This window comes from Homo sapiens, chromosome 15 (genome assembly GCF_000001405.40).
Source record: "Homo sapiens chromosome 15, GRCh38.p14 Primary Assembly".
Classification (NCBI taxonomy): Eukaryota; Metazoa; Chordata; class Mammalia; order Primates; family Hominidae; genus Homo; species Homo sapiens.
This window is the reverse complement of record NC_000015.10, coordinates 71,985,339-72,000,219: the sequence shown is the minus strand read 5'-3', so window position 1 is coordinate 72,000,219 and position 14,881 is coordinate 71,985,339. Positions and strand designations below refer to the sequence as shown.

The 14,881-nt window shown below is 36.4% G+C and overlaps 1 protein-coding gene and 1 long non-coding RNA gene across 57 annotated transcripts in view; one reads left to right on the top strand and one right to left on the bottom strand.

Annotated features, from left to right (window-relative positions):
* MYO9A (myosin IXA) overlaps positions 1–14,881 on the top strand; it is a 296,310-nt gene that overhangs the window by 118,381 nt on the left and 163,048 nt on the right. For all 50 annotated transcript variants that reach the window (XM_047432576.1, XM_047432553.1, XM_047432585.1 and 47 more), the window contains 3 exons: positions 280–369; positions 5,635–5,751; positions 8,983–9,117. In XM_047432576.1, coding sequence (XP_047288532.1) covers positions 280–369; positions 5,635–5,751; positions 8,983–9,117 — 342 coding nt within the window. The remainder of the gene's footprint in view (positions 1–279; positions 370–5,634; positions 5,752–8,982; positions 9,118–14,881) is intronic.
* MYO9A-AS1 (MYO9A antisense RNA 1) overlaps positions 1–14,881 on the bottom strand; it is a 64,558-nt gene that overhangs the window by 36,545 nt on the left and 13,132 nt on the right. For 3 of the 7 annotated variants that reach the window (XR_001751798.3, XR_007064705.1, XR_001751797.2), the window contains exons 2-3: positions 6,432–6,527; positions 1,140–1,207 (exon numbers count right to left, since the gene is read on the bottom strand). This is a non-coding gene — a long non-coding RNA (MYO9A antisense RNA 1). Of the gene's footprint in view, positions 1–167; positions 5,255–6,431; positions 6,818–14,881 lie in introns of those variants that run through there. The other 4 variants (XR_007064702.1, XR_007064703.1, XR_001751796.2 and 1 more) reach the window with 3 other exon arrangements.

Below are 14,881 nucleotides of genomic sequence, written 5' to 3'. Positions count from 1 at the left end.
TTTATACTATTCTATATTTTCTGTATTCTGCACAATGAAACATGTTTCTCTGTTATGATCAGAAAGCAAACTTTAACTTGAAAAAACCCATTTGTCTTTTGAGTGGGACACTTAAATTCCATTTGGCCAGTATTAAAATTGCCCAGTGTATTGCCTTTTTTCTCTGCTATGTAATTGCTAATCTCATTAAGCTTTTCCTCCTCTATTTGGCTTTTTCAAAAGATAATTCAACCTATTGTCATAAATCTTACATATTGAGTTTACTTTTCTGTTTTATAGGTTAAAGAAGAGATGCTATTTGAAGCATTAGTTACAAGGAAGACGGTGACAGTGGGAGAAAAGCTTATTTTGCCATACAAGTTGGCAGAGGTATGATGGATTTTCTTTGAAATGAAAGCATTCTGGACATTGTTAGAAGTTTAGGTTTGAAGTTTGGGTTTTCTCTTAACAGCATGAAAATGACAATGGCAAAAAGTTTTGATTGAAATATTTTCTAGGCCTTTACATTTGATTGTGAATTTTCCATTGATTTAGAAACTTAAATTTGAATGTGATTGTGAGAAATAGGCTTGCATTTTTCTCCAAGGATCTTAACCTCTTCATCATTTCCAATTTTCATATTACTAATGTGGGGTAGATAGATGGTAGGTAGAATTATAAATGAGCAATATTTGACCCAATTAATTATTCTTCTTGAGACAGTTTCTTCTAGCACATCATACTTTTTTGGTTAACTTTTTCATTGTTGGCTACTTGTTTGCAGTTCTTTCTGCTTGTATTTTTTTTTCTTTATCTCTAAAAGGTAGAGTACCCTAGGACGCAGTCTTTGTTTCTTCTTCTCTATATTCTTCATTGAGGTTATCTTACCCAGTCCCATCACTTTAAATACCATCTGTATACTGAGGCTCCTAGGGATACTTGTTGCTACTATTATACCACTCAGATCTATAGGGGCAGGAAAATTATTGAAAAGCTGCTACTTTGTGGAGTAGTTTTATGAAAGTGATGTCAAGTCAAATTATTATAATTATAAAAATTGGACAGGAATATGAAATTAGAAGATTAGAAGACAGGTGAGGAAATTGTGATTGAATTCTAGAGAATGTTTTTTAAGCTTGACATTGATCCATTTATCTCACCTTCTGTATCTCCAAGTCCACATTTCTTCTTATGTCATATTATAGTCTTCCACTGTGAGAGCTTCTTTCTAAATGAAAAGAAAGCCAAATCTTTGTTGGACATTGATAGACTGGATTAAGAAAATGTGGCACATACACACCATGGAATACTATGCAGCCATAAAAAATGATGAGTTCATGTCCTTTGTAGGGACATGGGTGAAATTGGAAATCATCATTCTCAGTAAACTATCGCAAGGACAAAAAACCGAACACCGCACGTTCTCACTCATAGATGGGAATTGAACAATGAGAACACATGGACACAGGAAGGGGAACATCACACTCTGGGGACTGTTGTGCGGTGGGGGAAGCGGGGAGGGATAGCATTAGGAGATATCCCTAATGCTAAATGACGAGTTAATGGGTGCAACACGCCAGCATGGCACATGTATACATATGTAACTAACCTGCACATTGTGCACATGTACCCTAATACTTAAAAGTGTAATAATAATAATAAAAAGAAAAAAAAAGACAAAAAAAAAAAAGAAAGCCAAATCTTTAAGAGTTTTATATTTCTTTTATATAAAATAAAGATTCATTGCTTTTTACATTTTCTTTCACTACCTTTTTCTTCTTTTAAAAAATTTAACTTTTAAGTTCCGGGGTATAGTGCAGGTTTGTTATATAGGTAAACTTGTGTCATGGGGGTTTGTTGTAGAGATTATTTCGTCACCCAGGTATTAAGCCTACTACCCGTTAGTTACTTTTCCTGATCCTCTCCCTCCTCCCATTCTCTGTCACCCCCTTTATGTCTCCGTGTGTTCTCATCATTTAGTTTCCACTTAGAAGTGAGAACATGCTGTGTTTGGTTTTCTGTTCCTGCGTTAGTTTGCAATGGATAATGGTCTCCAGCTTCATCCAAATTCCTGCAAAGGACGTGGTTTTCTTCTTATTTATGCTGCATTGTATTCCACGGTGTATAAGTACCACATTTATTTATCCAGTGTGTCATTGATGAGCATTTAGGTTGATTCCATGTCTTTGCTATTGTGAATAGTGCTGCAGTGAGCATATACGTGGATGTGTCTTTATGATAGAATGATTTCTATTCCTTTGGATATATGCCCAGTAATTGGATTACTGGGTTGAATAGTAGTTTTACTTTTAGGTCCTTGAGGAATTGCCACACTGTCTTCCCCAATGGTTGAAATAATTTACACTCCCTCCAACAGTGTATAAATGTTTCTTTTTATCCACAACCTCACCAGCATCTGTCGTTTTTCTGACTTTTTAACAATAGCCATTGTGACTCACGTGAGATGGTATCTCATTGTGGTTTTGATTTGCGTTTCTCTAATGACCACACCACCTTTTTCATTACAAATTTTTTTTAGTATTTATTTTCATTTTTAACTTTGAATGTAACCTTCTGAGATTATTTTGTATTCCCTACTTTTTTTTTGTTTATTTTTGTTTGGTGTATTCATTTATTTTTTTTGAGACGAGTCTCGCACTCTTACCTGGGCTGGAGTGCAGTGGTGTGATCTCGCTCACTGCAACCTCTGCCTCTTGGGTTCAAGTGATTCTCCTGCTTCAGCCTCCCGAGTAGCTGGGATTACAGGCGCCCGCCACCATGCCCAGCTAATTTTTGGTATTTTTAGTAGAGATGGGGTTTCACCATGTTGGTCAGGCTGATCTCGAACTCCTGCCCTTGTGATCACCTGCCTTGGCCTTCCAAAGTTTTGGGATTACAGGCGTGAGCCACCACGCCCGGCTGTTATTTCTTTAATAAATATATAAAAACTCTATTTTTGTGCCGAGAAATGTGCAAAGCATTAGGGGTACTATGGGGAACAGTACTAAACAGTTTTAGTATTTTATCTGAAGGGTAATGCAAAGCTCTTAAAGTGTTTTAAGAAAAAAAAATCTTAATTTGTTTTTTTGTTTTAAAAGGAGCACTCTGGCAGATGTGTTTAGAACCATTTGGAGGAATGTATTAGTTTTTTACAGCTATGTAAGCAACTTAGCAACTTAATATAATACAGACTTAATATCTTGGCAGTTTCCATGGGTCATAAGTCTGGGGTGATCTCCCTTTGATTAAAAAATAAACTGGTTTGGGTTTTTATATCTTTAAAATCCTTTCATTTTTATCATGTGACATCAGTTTCATATGGGAGTGAAATCCATCGTATTTACAGTTCTGCCTACACTTATGAGGAGGGAATTATATAGAACTTGTACCCCCAGGGAATCTTGTGGGCTATCTTGGGTTTTGGTCAAGCACAGAAGGCAGGAGTGGATGTAGAGAGATGAGTTCGGAGGCTGCGGTAGTGAGAATGATATTTGCTTTGCAGAATGGTGACATATTGATAGGGAGAAATGTATGGATTTAAAAAGAAAAAAATTTGATTAAATCAGCAGGACCTAGTAATGACTTGAATAATGGGAAGCAAGGCAAACAAAGGAGGTGTCAAGGATGAGTCCTGCATTTCTGGTTTACACAGCTGTAAGAATATTGGTACCCTTCAATGACATAGGAAACACTAAATGAGATCTTGTTTGGGTGGGAAAATATTACTTGATATTTGGGTTTATTGAGGTTAAGCTATGAAAGACAGACATGCATTTCAGAGAAAAGGGCTGAAAGTATAAAATTTGGAGTTACAGAGTAAACAAATAGGTATCGTATTGGCCTATCTGGATTCTATGACTATGGTATTTTATAAAAATGGTACATTATGTAAACCATAAATACTGTAGTTAGACTTTAGTTTTTATCTTTGTCTGAAGGTCTTTTAACTAAAAAATTCAACCCATTCATAAAATTTATTGTGATAATGTTTATATGCTTATTCTATGTCTTATATTTGTTGATTTAGTTTTAAAATATTGTACTTTTCCTGAATTTTATTAGATTATCTTCATTTTTCTTTTCTTTCTGGGGAAAAAAATACAGTGGTATTCTGTTATATTTTCATTCTGCCATTGGTTTTCTTGATAGTTGGTTCACCTTATGCACAGATTCCACATCCAAGGATTCAACCATTTGCACATTAAAAATATTCTAAAACTCCACAACAATAAAAAATAATACAGGTTTCTAGTGTTGAAGATAGAGAATTTGGTACCAGTCTTCTTTCTGCTATGTAGGCAGTTATTTTTTGGTCTAGGAACTTGAAGCTTTTTTTTTCCTTCAATATTCAGAAATTAATTCATCACCTATGTGGTAGGTTGTAGTATTACCTTCTTTTTATAGATGTATAACCAGTAGCCTAAGAGGTTAAGTAACTTAGTCATGATTATGCAGCTAGAATAAGTAGAAAAACTGGAATTGGAAGATACTCTAGTTCTTAATTATTACTATTTTCTTTATACTTCAAAATGGAGTTATAAATATGTACCTGAATATACAAGCTTCAGAATAAGCCCCTAGATAATAAATATGTAAATTACTAGGATTTATATTCTTCTAAGTGCTAAGACTCAGTTCTGTAAGACATGTGCCATACTCTACTCCCTTTTTTTTTTTTTGTAAATTTATGCTTTCTAAATGGTGAAATTCTTTGTTTTTTAAGAACAATTTCAGACTTACAGGAAAATAGAGCAGATAGTATTGAGAATTTTCATAAACTTGGAAAGCTTAGAGTGAGGAAAAAATAAATTTTGTAACTACATAATGAGGGAATTGTTGCTGTCTTTGAGGATGGAGTAATTCTAGAAGTTTCTATGGGTGACAAGCCGAAGACAACTACCAATGTAATTGTGGTTGTATTAGTGTATGTTTTAAGAGGGTGATTAGGATTCCACAGAAATTAATGGCTTTTTCCTAACAGATTTATTCCTCTGCCTAGAATACTCTTACCTACTGTAACTGGCAAAGTCATTTGTTTGTAAACTTCCAATTATACCTTCTTTCCTAGGGGGAATATATATCCCAATTTTTAATAAACATGTTTTGAACTGAGTGACCTACATTTTGTTTCTCTTATCTTTAATGGCAGTTTTAACGTAGATTCTTTGAGTGGGACTAATTGAATGAGTACATGTGGAAAACTTCAATTGGCTGGGTGCGGTGGCTCACGCCTGTAATCCCAGCACTTTGGGAGGCCAAGACGGGTGAATCACCTGAGGTCAGGAATTTGAGACCAGCCTGACCAACATGGAGAAACCCCGTTTCTACTAAAAATACAAAATTAGCCAGGCGTGGTGGTGCATGCCTGTAATCCCAGCTACGTGGGAAGCTGAGGCAGTAGAATCACTTGAACCCAGGAGACGGAGGCTGCCATGAGCCGAGATTGCACCATTGCATTCCAGCGTGGCCAATGAGAGCCAAACTCTCAAAAACAAACAAACAAAAAACTTTAGTTATAGATTTTTTATTTTGAGAGAAAAATTCATTTCTAATTCAGGATAGTAAGTTTCTTTCTTGAATGGGAGCAAACAACTTTGTCATAGTATCTTAATCATTGTCAATTCTACATGCACTTGTAATGCTTTTGTTTTTCAGGCTGTGACAGTGAGGAACTCCATGGCTAAGTCTCTGTATAGTGCCCTGTTTGACTGGATAGTTTTTCGAATTAATCATGCACTTCTGAATAGTAAAGATTTAGAGCATAATACCAAGGTAATGATATATTGGATTATAATATGTTTTTCCCTGAAAGCTATTTTAATAAACTGGTTAATACATGAAATTTAAAAACACAGAATTATATAGAGTAATAAGTAAGAAATCGCTTTTATTTGTTATTTATTACCCTGTTCAGAAGAATTGTTCTGTGTGTCTTTCCAGACCTTTTTTATTATGTGTTTTTACCTCCCGAACGTGTATATTCAGAGTTGCTTTAAAAAATGTAAATAGAATCATGCTCTCTGTATTCTTTCAAACATAAATATATGTATTTTTTTTACCTAGAATCTCTTGAAATATTTTCTGTCTCATTATATATCTGGACCTGGCTATTTAAAAAAAGTTATAAATATATAGTAAGATGTGTACCATAAATCCATCCATTAAAAATAGATTTTGTTTTATTGTTATAAACAATGCTGTAACAAATATTCTTTTACTTACCTGTGTATACATTTCTCTAGGATAACATTATCAAAGTGGGATTGCTGTTTTTTTTTTTTTTTTTGAGACGGTGTCTTGCTCTCACCCAGGCTGGAGTGCAGTGGCATGATCTCGCTACAACCTCCGGTTCAAGCGATTCTCCTGCCTCAGCCTCCTGAGTAGCTGGGATTATGGGTGCCCACCACCACACCCAGCTCATTTTTGTATTTTTAGTAGAGACAGGGTCTCACCGTGTTGGCCAGGCTGGTCTTGAACTCTTGACCTCAGGTGATTCATCTGCTTTGGTCTCCCAAAGTGCTGCGATTACAGGCGTGAGCCACCGTGCCCTGCCGATTGCTAAGTTTAAGGATAGATACATTTTGAAAATTTGACACTTTCCAAAAAAGACTGTACATTTCCAGCAGCAGTGTGTGAAAGCACCTGATCCCCTACACCTTTACCCACATTGGATGTTATCAGGATTTACATCTCCTAATCTGATAAGGGGAATGGTTTCATTTTATTGCATTATTTTTAATGATAGATAAAAGTTCTGCATCACCTCATGTTTTCGCTATTTTATTTCTTCTCTGTATTTTTAAAATAACTTTGTGTTATTTTTGTCTTCTGTTTTGTCTTTTTGATACTCCTTTTTATTTTTATTTTATTTTAAATTTAATTTTATTTTTGAGACAGTGTCTCATTTTTTTTGCCCAAGCTGGAGTACAGTGGTATGATCTTGGCTCATTGCAACCTCCGTCTCCTGGGTTCAAGTGATTCTCCTGCCTCAGCCTCCCAAGTACCTGGGATTATAGGCGCGTGCCACAATGCCTGGCTAATTTTTGTATTTTTAGTTGAGATGGGTTTCACCATGTTGGCCAGGCTGGTCTCGAACACCTGACCTCAAGTGACCTGCCCTTCTTGGCCTCCCAAAGTGCTGGGATTACAGGCGTGAGCCACCAGGCCTGGCCTACTCCTTTTTAGAAGGCATTTATTGTGGATATTTGTGGAGGCCTATAGTTTGATATATATTGCAATTATTTTCTCTCTTAGTTATTTACTTTTTAGATTTATTTATACCATCTTTTTCTGATTTTATGTTGTAATTTTTTTGCAGTTAATTCTGTCATTTTTCTTGTTTTTAGTTTTGCATTTTGTATATGTATTTTACTTACAGAGGAAGGCCTCTTCTAGCCCAAGATTATAAAATATTTATTCTTATATTTTTATAATTATAATTTTTTTATGTTTAGACTTTTTCTAACTATATTTTTAATATGGCAGATTATAGGTATTTAATCATTTCACATCTAGTTGTGTTTTCTGGGCAGCCTTCATGGACTAGTCCACCTTGTCAGACTGATTAAAAATGTCACCTTTTAAATTTAATCCTATTGCCTTAAATGTGAAATTGCTCTTATGTTAATTTTTCATGCTTCAGGTAAACTCACAGTCATAAAAATTAATTTAAATTGTAATCTAATTTATCAAATTGATTTATTTTTGAAGGGCATTATTTTAATTTTTTTAAGGGCCTAGACTTAGCAGAATTAAACAAAATACTCTTAGTACAGGCTTTTAAAAAAGATCTTACTATTTTTCATTCATCATATCAGTTTGCCCGTTGTATCTCTTAGCACCAGTGGAGAAAAATTATTTTCATTTAACCAAAATTGTCATACAACTGTATTTCTAGAATGGGTTGGGGTGGTGAGAAAAGTGTTCATATGCAGGTATTAGAGCCAAATCCACAGTAAGAAGTTAGATTATTCCTAGAAGTGCAATAGAAGAATATAAGCATTTATGTTCTGTATTCTACCAAACAGCTGAAAGATTTGAATGTGGTTGACTTTAGGGAGCAGATCTTGATGATGAGGCAGGGATTGCTGTCTTTTGTTGTAATCCTTTTAGCACTATTCAACATTTTAAACCTCATACTTTTTTTTTTTAATAAATATTTTTAACTTTACGAAACCGTATGTTCTGGCCGGGCACGGTGGCTCACGCCTGTAATCCCAGCACTTTGGGAGGCCGAGGCGGGTGGATCACCTGCACTCAGGAGTTTGATACCAGACCGGCCAACGTGGTGAAACCAGTCTCTACCAAAAATACAAAAAATTAGCCAGAATGGTGGTGCATGCCATGGTAAACCCAGCTGCTGGTGAGGCTGAGGCAAGAGAATCGCATGAACCCCGGTGGCAGAGGTTACAGTGAACTGAGATCACGTCACTGTACTCCAGCCTGGGCGACAGATCGAGACTCCGTCTCAAAAATAAAAAAGAAACCATACGTTCTGACATCTAGTTTCACTCAGTCTTCATGAGGCTGATAAAATATACTAGTTTGGTTCTTAATGAAGAATTCTATTTATTGGGATGTAGAAGTCGAAATAGGAAAAATTGCATTGTCCTCTTGGTATAGCCAGGAGTAACCTACCTCTCTTGATCCTTCATTGAAATAACCTTTTGATTTCCTCACCCTCTGTTTTTTTCCATTCCCTTTAAGATGTTAGGGATTTCTGAGGTTTCTTAAGATAAAAGGCCACTAACCTTGCTTCACATATTTCTGTAATCTATAGATTATATGTATTAACAGTTTGGATATATTTTTTTAATTAGGATAAAAGTAAGATAAAGATAACTAAAATACTTTTAAGTCATGATATGTTTTGAATACTGGCCAAACACAATCCCCTGTACACTGCTTTAGAGGAATTGAGCATTTTGTTACTTATGTTGTGGATATTATTCATTAAATAAATTTAAACATTACTTTTAATCAAAACTTTCTCTTGTTTTACAGACATTGTCTATTGGTGTTCTTGATATTTTTGGGTTTGAAGATTATGAAAATAACAGCTTTGAACAGTTCTGTATTAATTTTGCTAATGAACGTTTACAGCACTACTTTAATCAGCATATCTTTAAATTGGAACAAGTGAGTACCTAAATATGTATACACTTGTCCCCCCATCACACATATCTTTGAGTCATATTCATAATAATTCACTTCATTTTTTCACACATTTTATTGATTTACATAGTGTTTTTATTAAATATTGAAACGTGCCTTTACAAACAAGAATAACCGAAGTAAATTGGCTTGGGAACAAATACCGTTGCCTCTTTGTTTATGTAAACTCAACTGATGGGATTAGAAATGTGAGATAAAACAGAGTAGTCTGGTAGCTTCAATTGTTTATCATAATATCAGTTGTGATATTTTACTAAAAGAGTGGAGAGCACATAATAAGCATTTTAAATCTTGTCTTTTTTTTTTTTTTTTGACTGAGTCTCGCTCTGTCGCCCAGGCTGGAGTGCAGTGGCCCAATCTCGGCTCACTGCAAGCTCCGCCTCGCGGGTTCATGCCAGCCTCCTGGCTCAGCCTCCCCGAGTAGCTGGGACTACAGGTGCCCGCCACCATGCCCGGCTAATTTTTTTGTATTTTTAGTAGAGATGGGGTTTCACTGTGTTAGCCAGGATGGTCTCGATCTCCTGACCTCGTGATCCACCCGCCTCAGCCTCCCAAAGTGCTGGGATTATAGATGTGAGCCACTGCGCCCAGCCTAAATCTTGTCTTTCAATACAAATATTGTGGTCCACATATCATTGTAAGCAGATGACAGAGGTTTTATAGTTCCCTAAATAGATTTGCTGGCTGGGCATGGTGGCTCAAGCTGACAATCCCAGCATTTTGGGAGGCCAAGGTGGGTGGATCTCTTGAGCCCAGGAGTTAGAGACCAGCCTGGGCAGCATGGCGAAACCCTGTCTGTACAAAAAATATAAAAATTAACCAGATGTGGTATTGCATGCCAGTTGTCCCAGCTACTCAGGAGACTCAGGTGGGAGGATCACCTGAGCCTGGGAGGTGTATGTTGCAGTGAGCTGTGTTTGAGCCACTGCATGCCAGACTGGGCAACAGAATGAGACTGTCTCAAAAAAAAAAAAAAATTGCTTATATATGCTTATTTGATTGCACCTTTGTTGTTTTTGCAGGGGAGTGTGTTTTTTTAGAGATGGGTCTTCTTGCTCTGTCGCCCAAGCTGAAGTACAGTGGCGTGATCTTGGCTCACTGTGTCGACCTCTGGGGCTTAAGGAGTCCCCCCACCTCAGCCACTCAAGAGCTGGGACCACAGGTGCACGTCACCACACCCAACTAATTTTTGTTTTTATTTTTTGTAGAGACAAGGTGTCACTATGTTGCCCAGACTGGTCTCAAACTCTTAGGCTCAAGCAGTCCTCCCACCTTGACCTCCCAAAGTGCTGGGATTACAGTCAGGAACTACCACTCCTGGCCTTGAATGAACCTTTGATTAAAAAGATGTGTGTGTGTGTTTTGTTTTGTTTTTATTGCTGGTGTTGATTGTTTTTTTCTTTTTTCTTTTTCTTTCACACAGGGGTTTGGAAACAATGGTGTTGATTTTTAATTGCTACCATGGGCTTGGTCACTGTGTGTAATGCTAAGTACAGTCAGTCAGTCCTCCTTATCTTTGGGTTTTACATCCAAGCATTCAACCCATGGCTGATACAAAACTACTGATACAAACCTGCATATACAGAGGGCTGACTGTACTAAGCCATTTTATATAAGAGACTTGCGCATCTGTGGATTTGGTATCCACAGGGAGTCCTGGAACCAATCCCTCGAGGATATGGAGGGCCAACTGTATGCTTGTTTGATTGCTTTGGTCTCTTAGTTCTAGGATGAGATAGAGGAGCTTAACAGAATCTCAAGTCAGTACAGAGTGTAGATACAAAGAAACTAGGTATGGAGAGACCAAGATGGGTAACTAGATATTTCTTATGAGGATCTCAAGATTGATTAAGTTAGTATAAAAAGAGTGTGCTTTTGGCTGGGAGTGGTGGCTCACACCTGTAATCCCAGCACTATGGGAGGCCGAGGTGGGCGGACGAGGTCAGGAGTTTGAGACCAGGCTGACCAACATGGTGAAACCCCATCTCTACTAAAAATACAAAAATTAGCCGTGTGTGGTGACAGGAGCCTGTAATCCCAGCTACTAAGGAGGCTGAGGCAGGAGAATCACCTGAATGTGGGCGGCGTAGGTTGCAGTGAGCCGAGATTGCGCCACTGTACTCCAGCCTGGGTGACAGAGTGAGACTCTATCTCAAAAAAAAGAGTGGGCTTTCAGTTTCCATGAAAATTATTAGTGCAAAGGGAGGGGCAAACAAAATGTGGACTTTTTCTCCAAACTAAGGTTGAAATCAGTAATAGGTTTACATTGTACCCCAGAATTTGTGTATGAGGACATAGGCAGACACAGGTTTCATCAAACTGAACTCAAGGGAAATAGTTAAGAATAGAGAATGAACAGAAAGACTACAACAGCTAGCAGGTCTACAGAAAAGAGGGAGAAAAGATCTTTATATCATCAAGTCTCCTATCATTGGATCTTGTTGCTGTCTTAGCTTTTTAAAAAAGTGCCTCTATTTTGCTTAAAGGACATAATGGCTGGTTAACAATAGCATGACAATATTAGTCCTGGCCAACTTGATGAATGCTTAAAGTTTTAAACATATAATCTGTTAGCTAGATGCTACCCTAGAGCTTTGGAAAGATATTATTTGTTATAATATTAGCTAACACTTACGAGTTATGTAGTGTTACTTATCAGTCAGTACTGTTTTTATTCTAGTTTTTCAGATGTTGTCTAAAGCCAGTATTCAAACCTTAACACTCTGGCTCTATAATATTTTCTTTTAATCAAAAGCTAAGCTGGGATTGCCATCCATGTCTATTGAATCAGTCCAAAACTCTTACATAAATCATACTAAGTTAATATTCTTTATCTCTTGCAAATAAGTACATGTGTTAGAAGGGTGAGGGAATGCATTTAGTTTTCTGGGTTCTATATTTTACAGAGCAGAACATCAGTTGCTCTGTGGATCATTAAACAGAACATTGGTTAAATTGATTTTGAAAAAGACAAACATTCTTTATTGTAAACTGAAATTATTCTTTTCTAGAAGTCTAGATTAGACAGCCAGAAGAAATGCCTTGGCCATAAACGTATTATATATAAAAATAAAAAACCTTAGAGTTTATGGAAAATGTGTTCAAAACTACTTGGAAGATGGGTGATTCTCATTTACTTGCTACCCTGAATGTCAGCATTTTGGGCAATGTGGTGCAATTATGGATCAGAATCTTGTTAAGTGTCTTATTTATATGTACCTCATTGGTAACTGGTATGAAATGGGTACTCAGTGATTACTTGTTAAGTTCAGTTGAGTATAAAATAAGTTAAGGTTAAAATTTTTAAAAAGAAGGTACAGTATCACAGGTACATTTGTAGGAAAAATCTTCAATATGATGACTGTGGTTTGGTTCTAAATTTTGTCCAAAAGGAGTACATAGGCATATAGGATGGGAGAGAGATGTAATAATTGCCATGCAGGATGTAAATGCTATAATCAGATATAAGGTAAAGTAGTTACACAAAGGATGGGGTTGATTGGAACTACCTGAAAGGCTGCAAAAATTTTCCAGGGTTGATTCTGGCATATAATTTCAAATAGTGAGCTGAAGCTCACTAGATTGTCAATGGGAAAAGATATTTTAGGCAAAGGTAACATTATACACATTGTACTTAAAACAGTGGACTTATATGTCATGCAGGGAAGATTAGAATTTTTCAGACAATGAGAAGCTATTTGAAGTATATTTAGCAGAGGACTTGAATTGAACTGAAGAGCAGTGAACTGGAAAGAAGGAGAAAAATCTATGAACTAGTTGAAGTACTGTCATGTGTCACTTAATGATGAGGATATGTTCTGAGAAATGCATCATTAGGTGATTTTGCTGTTGTATGAACATCATCCTGTATTTACACAAACCTAGTTGGTATAGCCTCCTACACACCTAGGCTATATGATATAGCCTATTGCTCCTAGGCCACAAACCTGTACAGCATGCTACACTGAATATTGTAGGCAACTGCAACACAATGGTAAGTATTTGTGTATCTAAATGTATCTAAACATAGAAAAGATACAGTAAAAATACAATATAAAAGATAAAAAATAGTACAGTTACATAGGGCACCTCCCATGATTAGAGCTTGCAGGACTGGAGGTTACTCTGGGTGAGATGTTGGGTGAGTGGTGATAAAGGCCTAGGACATTACTGTACACACACTAGTTAGACTTTATAAACACTGTACACTTAAGTTACACTAAATTTATTAATTTTTTTGTAATAAATTAACCTGAGCCTACTGTAATGTTTTTACTTTATAAACTTTTTTAACTTTTTGACTTTTGTAGTAGCCATTTAAAACACAAACACATTGTACAGCTGTACAAAAATGTTTTCTCTTTATATAATTATAAGCCCTCTTTCTATTAAAATTTTTTAAAACTTTAAAAACTTTTTTGTTAAAAGCAAAGACACATACATACATGTTAGCATGTATACATACATATTACCATAGCATATTAGCATAGGCCTACACAGGGTCAGGATCAAGACGTCAGTAGATAATATGAATTTTTCGTGAGATTAGGGATCCCTGTTGTATATGCAGTTGGTTCTTGACTGAAATGTGTTTGTGTGGCACATGACTGTAGAATGGGTGAGTGATTCTGAACTGAATCAAGGTAGTGGTAGAGACTGTAATGTAGACTAAGAGACAGACCCAAAGAGGTTTCTGATATTTGAAAGTACAGCCATCCCTGGGTATCCACAGGGGATTGGTTTCAGGACCCCCTGCTGAAGAATACCAAAATCCACAGATGCTCAAGTCCCTTATGTAAAATGGCATAGTATTTGCACATAACCTATGCACATTCTCCAGTATACTTTAGATCATCTCTCAGTTTCTTATACTTAATACACTGTAAATGGTATGTAAATAGTTGCTATACTGTTTCTAAGTTTATATTTTTTGCATTTTTTTCTCTAAATATTTTTGATATGTGGTCGGTTGGATCTACAAATGTGGAAACTTTTGCAGATATGGAGGGCCAATTGTATGTTTTCTGTTACTTGTATTACTGCCCTCTTTTTTCTTTTCCTTACTTGCTGAGAATTACTCTTCATTTGATTGATTCATCAGTAAATTGAACAACAGTTGTGTGCCAGGCAGTGTGCTAAGCATAGAAGATAGAAAATTTAGAGTGCAGGGATCTTATTTGAGGAGCTCATAATCTAGCAAGTTTTTGTTTCATCCATTTTACTTGTTGTTGTCAGACTAGAAACTTTTGATGAACCTTACCTTGGAGAACAACCAAAAAACTTCAACAACATATATTTGAAGGCATTGGAGTACCTTCAAATAAGTTTTACAGGGCCTAGACTATAAGAAAGAAATCTAGGGAAGTGAGCCCAGCATTTGGGTGCTGCTTTGTTCCTAGAGACATTTCGTTATTTTTGTAGTGTTTCTGATTCTAAAAGGGCCAGGCTTGAGAGTATGAGGAATTGAGCAGGGTTTTCTTCTGACTCAAAAATAAGGAGGAGGCCCTTGGTAATTCCTATAGGCTTTAGGTTGAGATCCCTAAAGGGTTACATCTCAGACAAAAGTAAATCAGAAGTAAACCTGGCATCAGAAGGACTGAAGCCCAGTTTAAAATCATCTCAGTTCCCAATTAGGTTAAAATACAATTTGTAGTATTCTTAACCACCTGCCAAGAGCAAATACAATCTCCACCAGAAGAAGACATCATCCAACTGCTAAAATTATCTT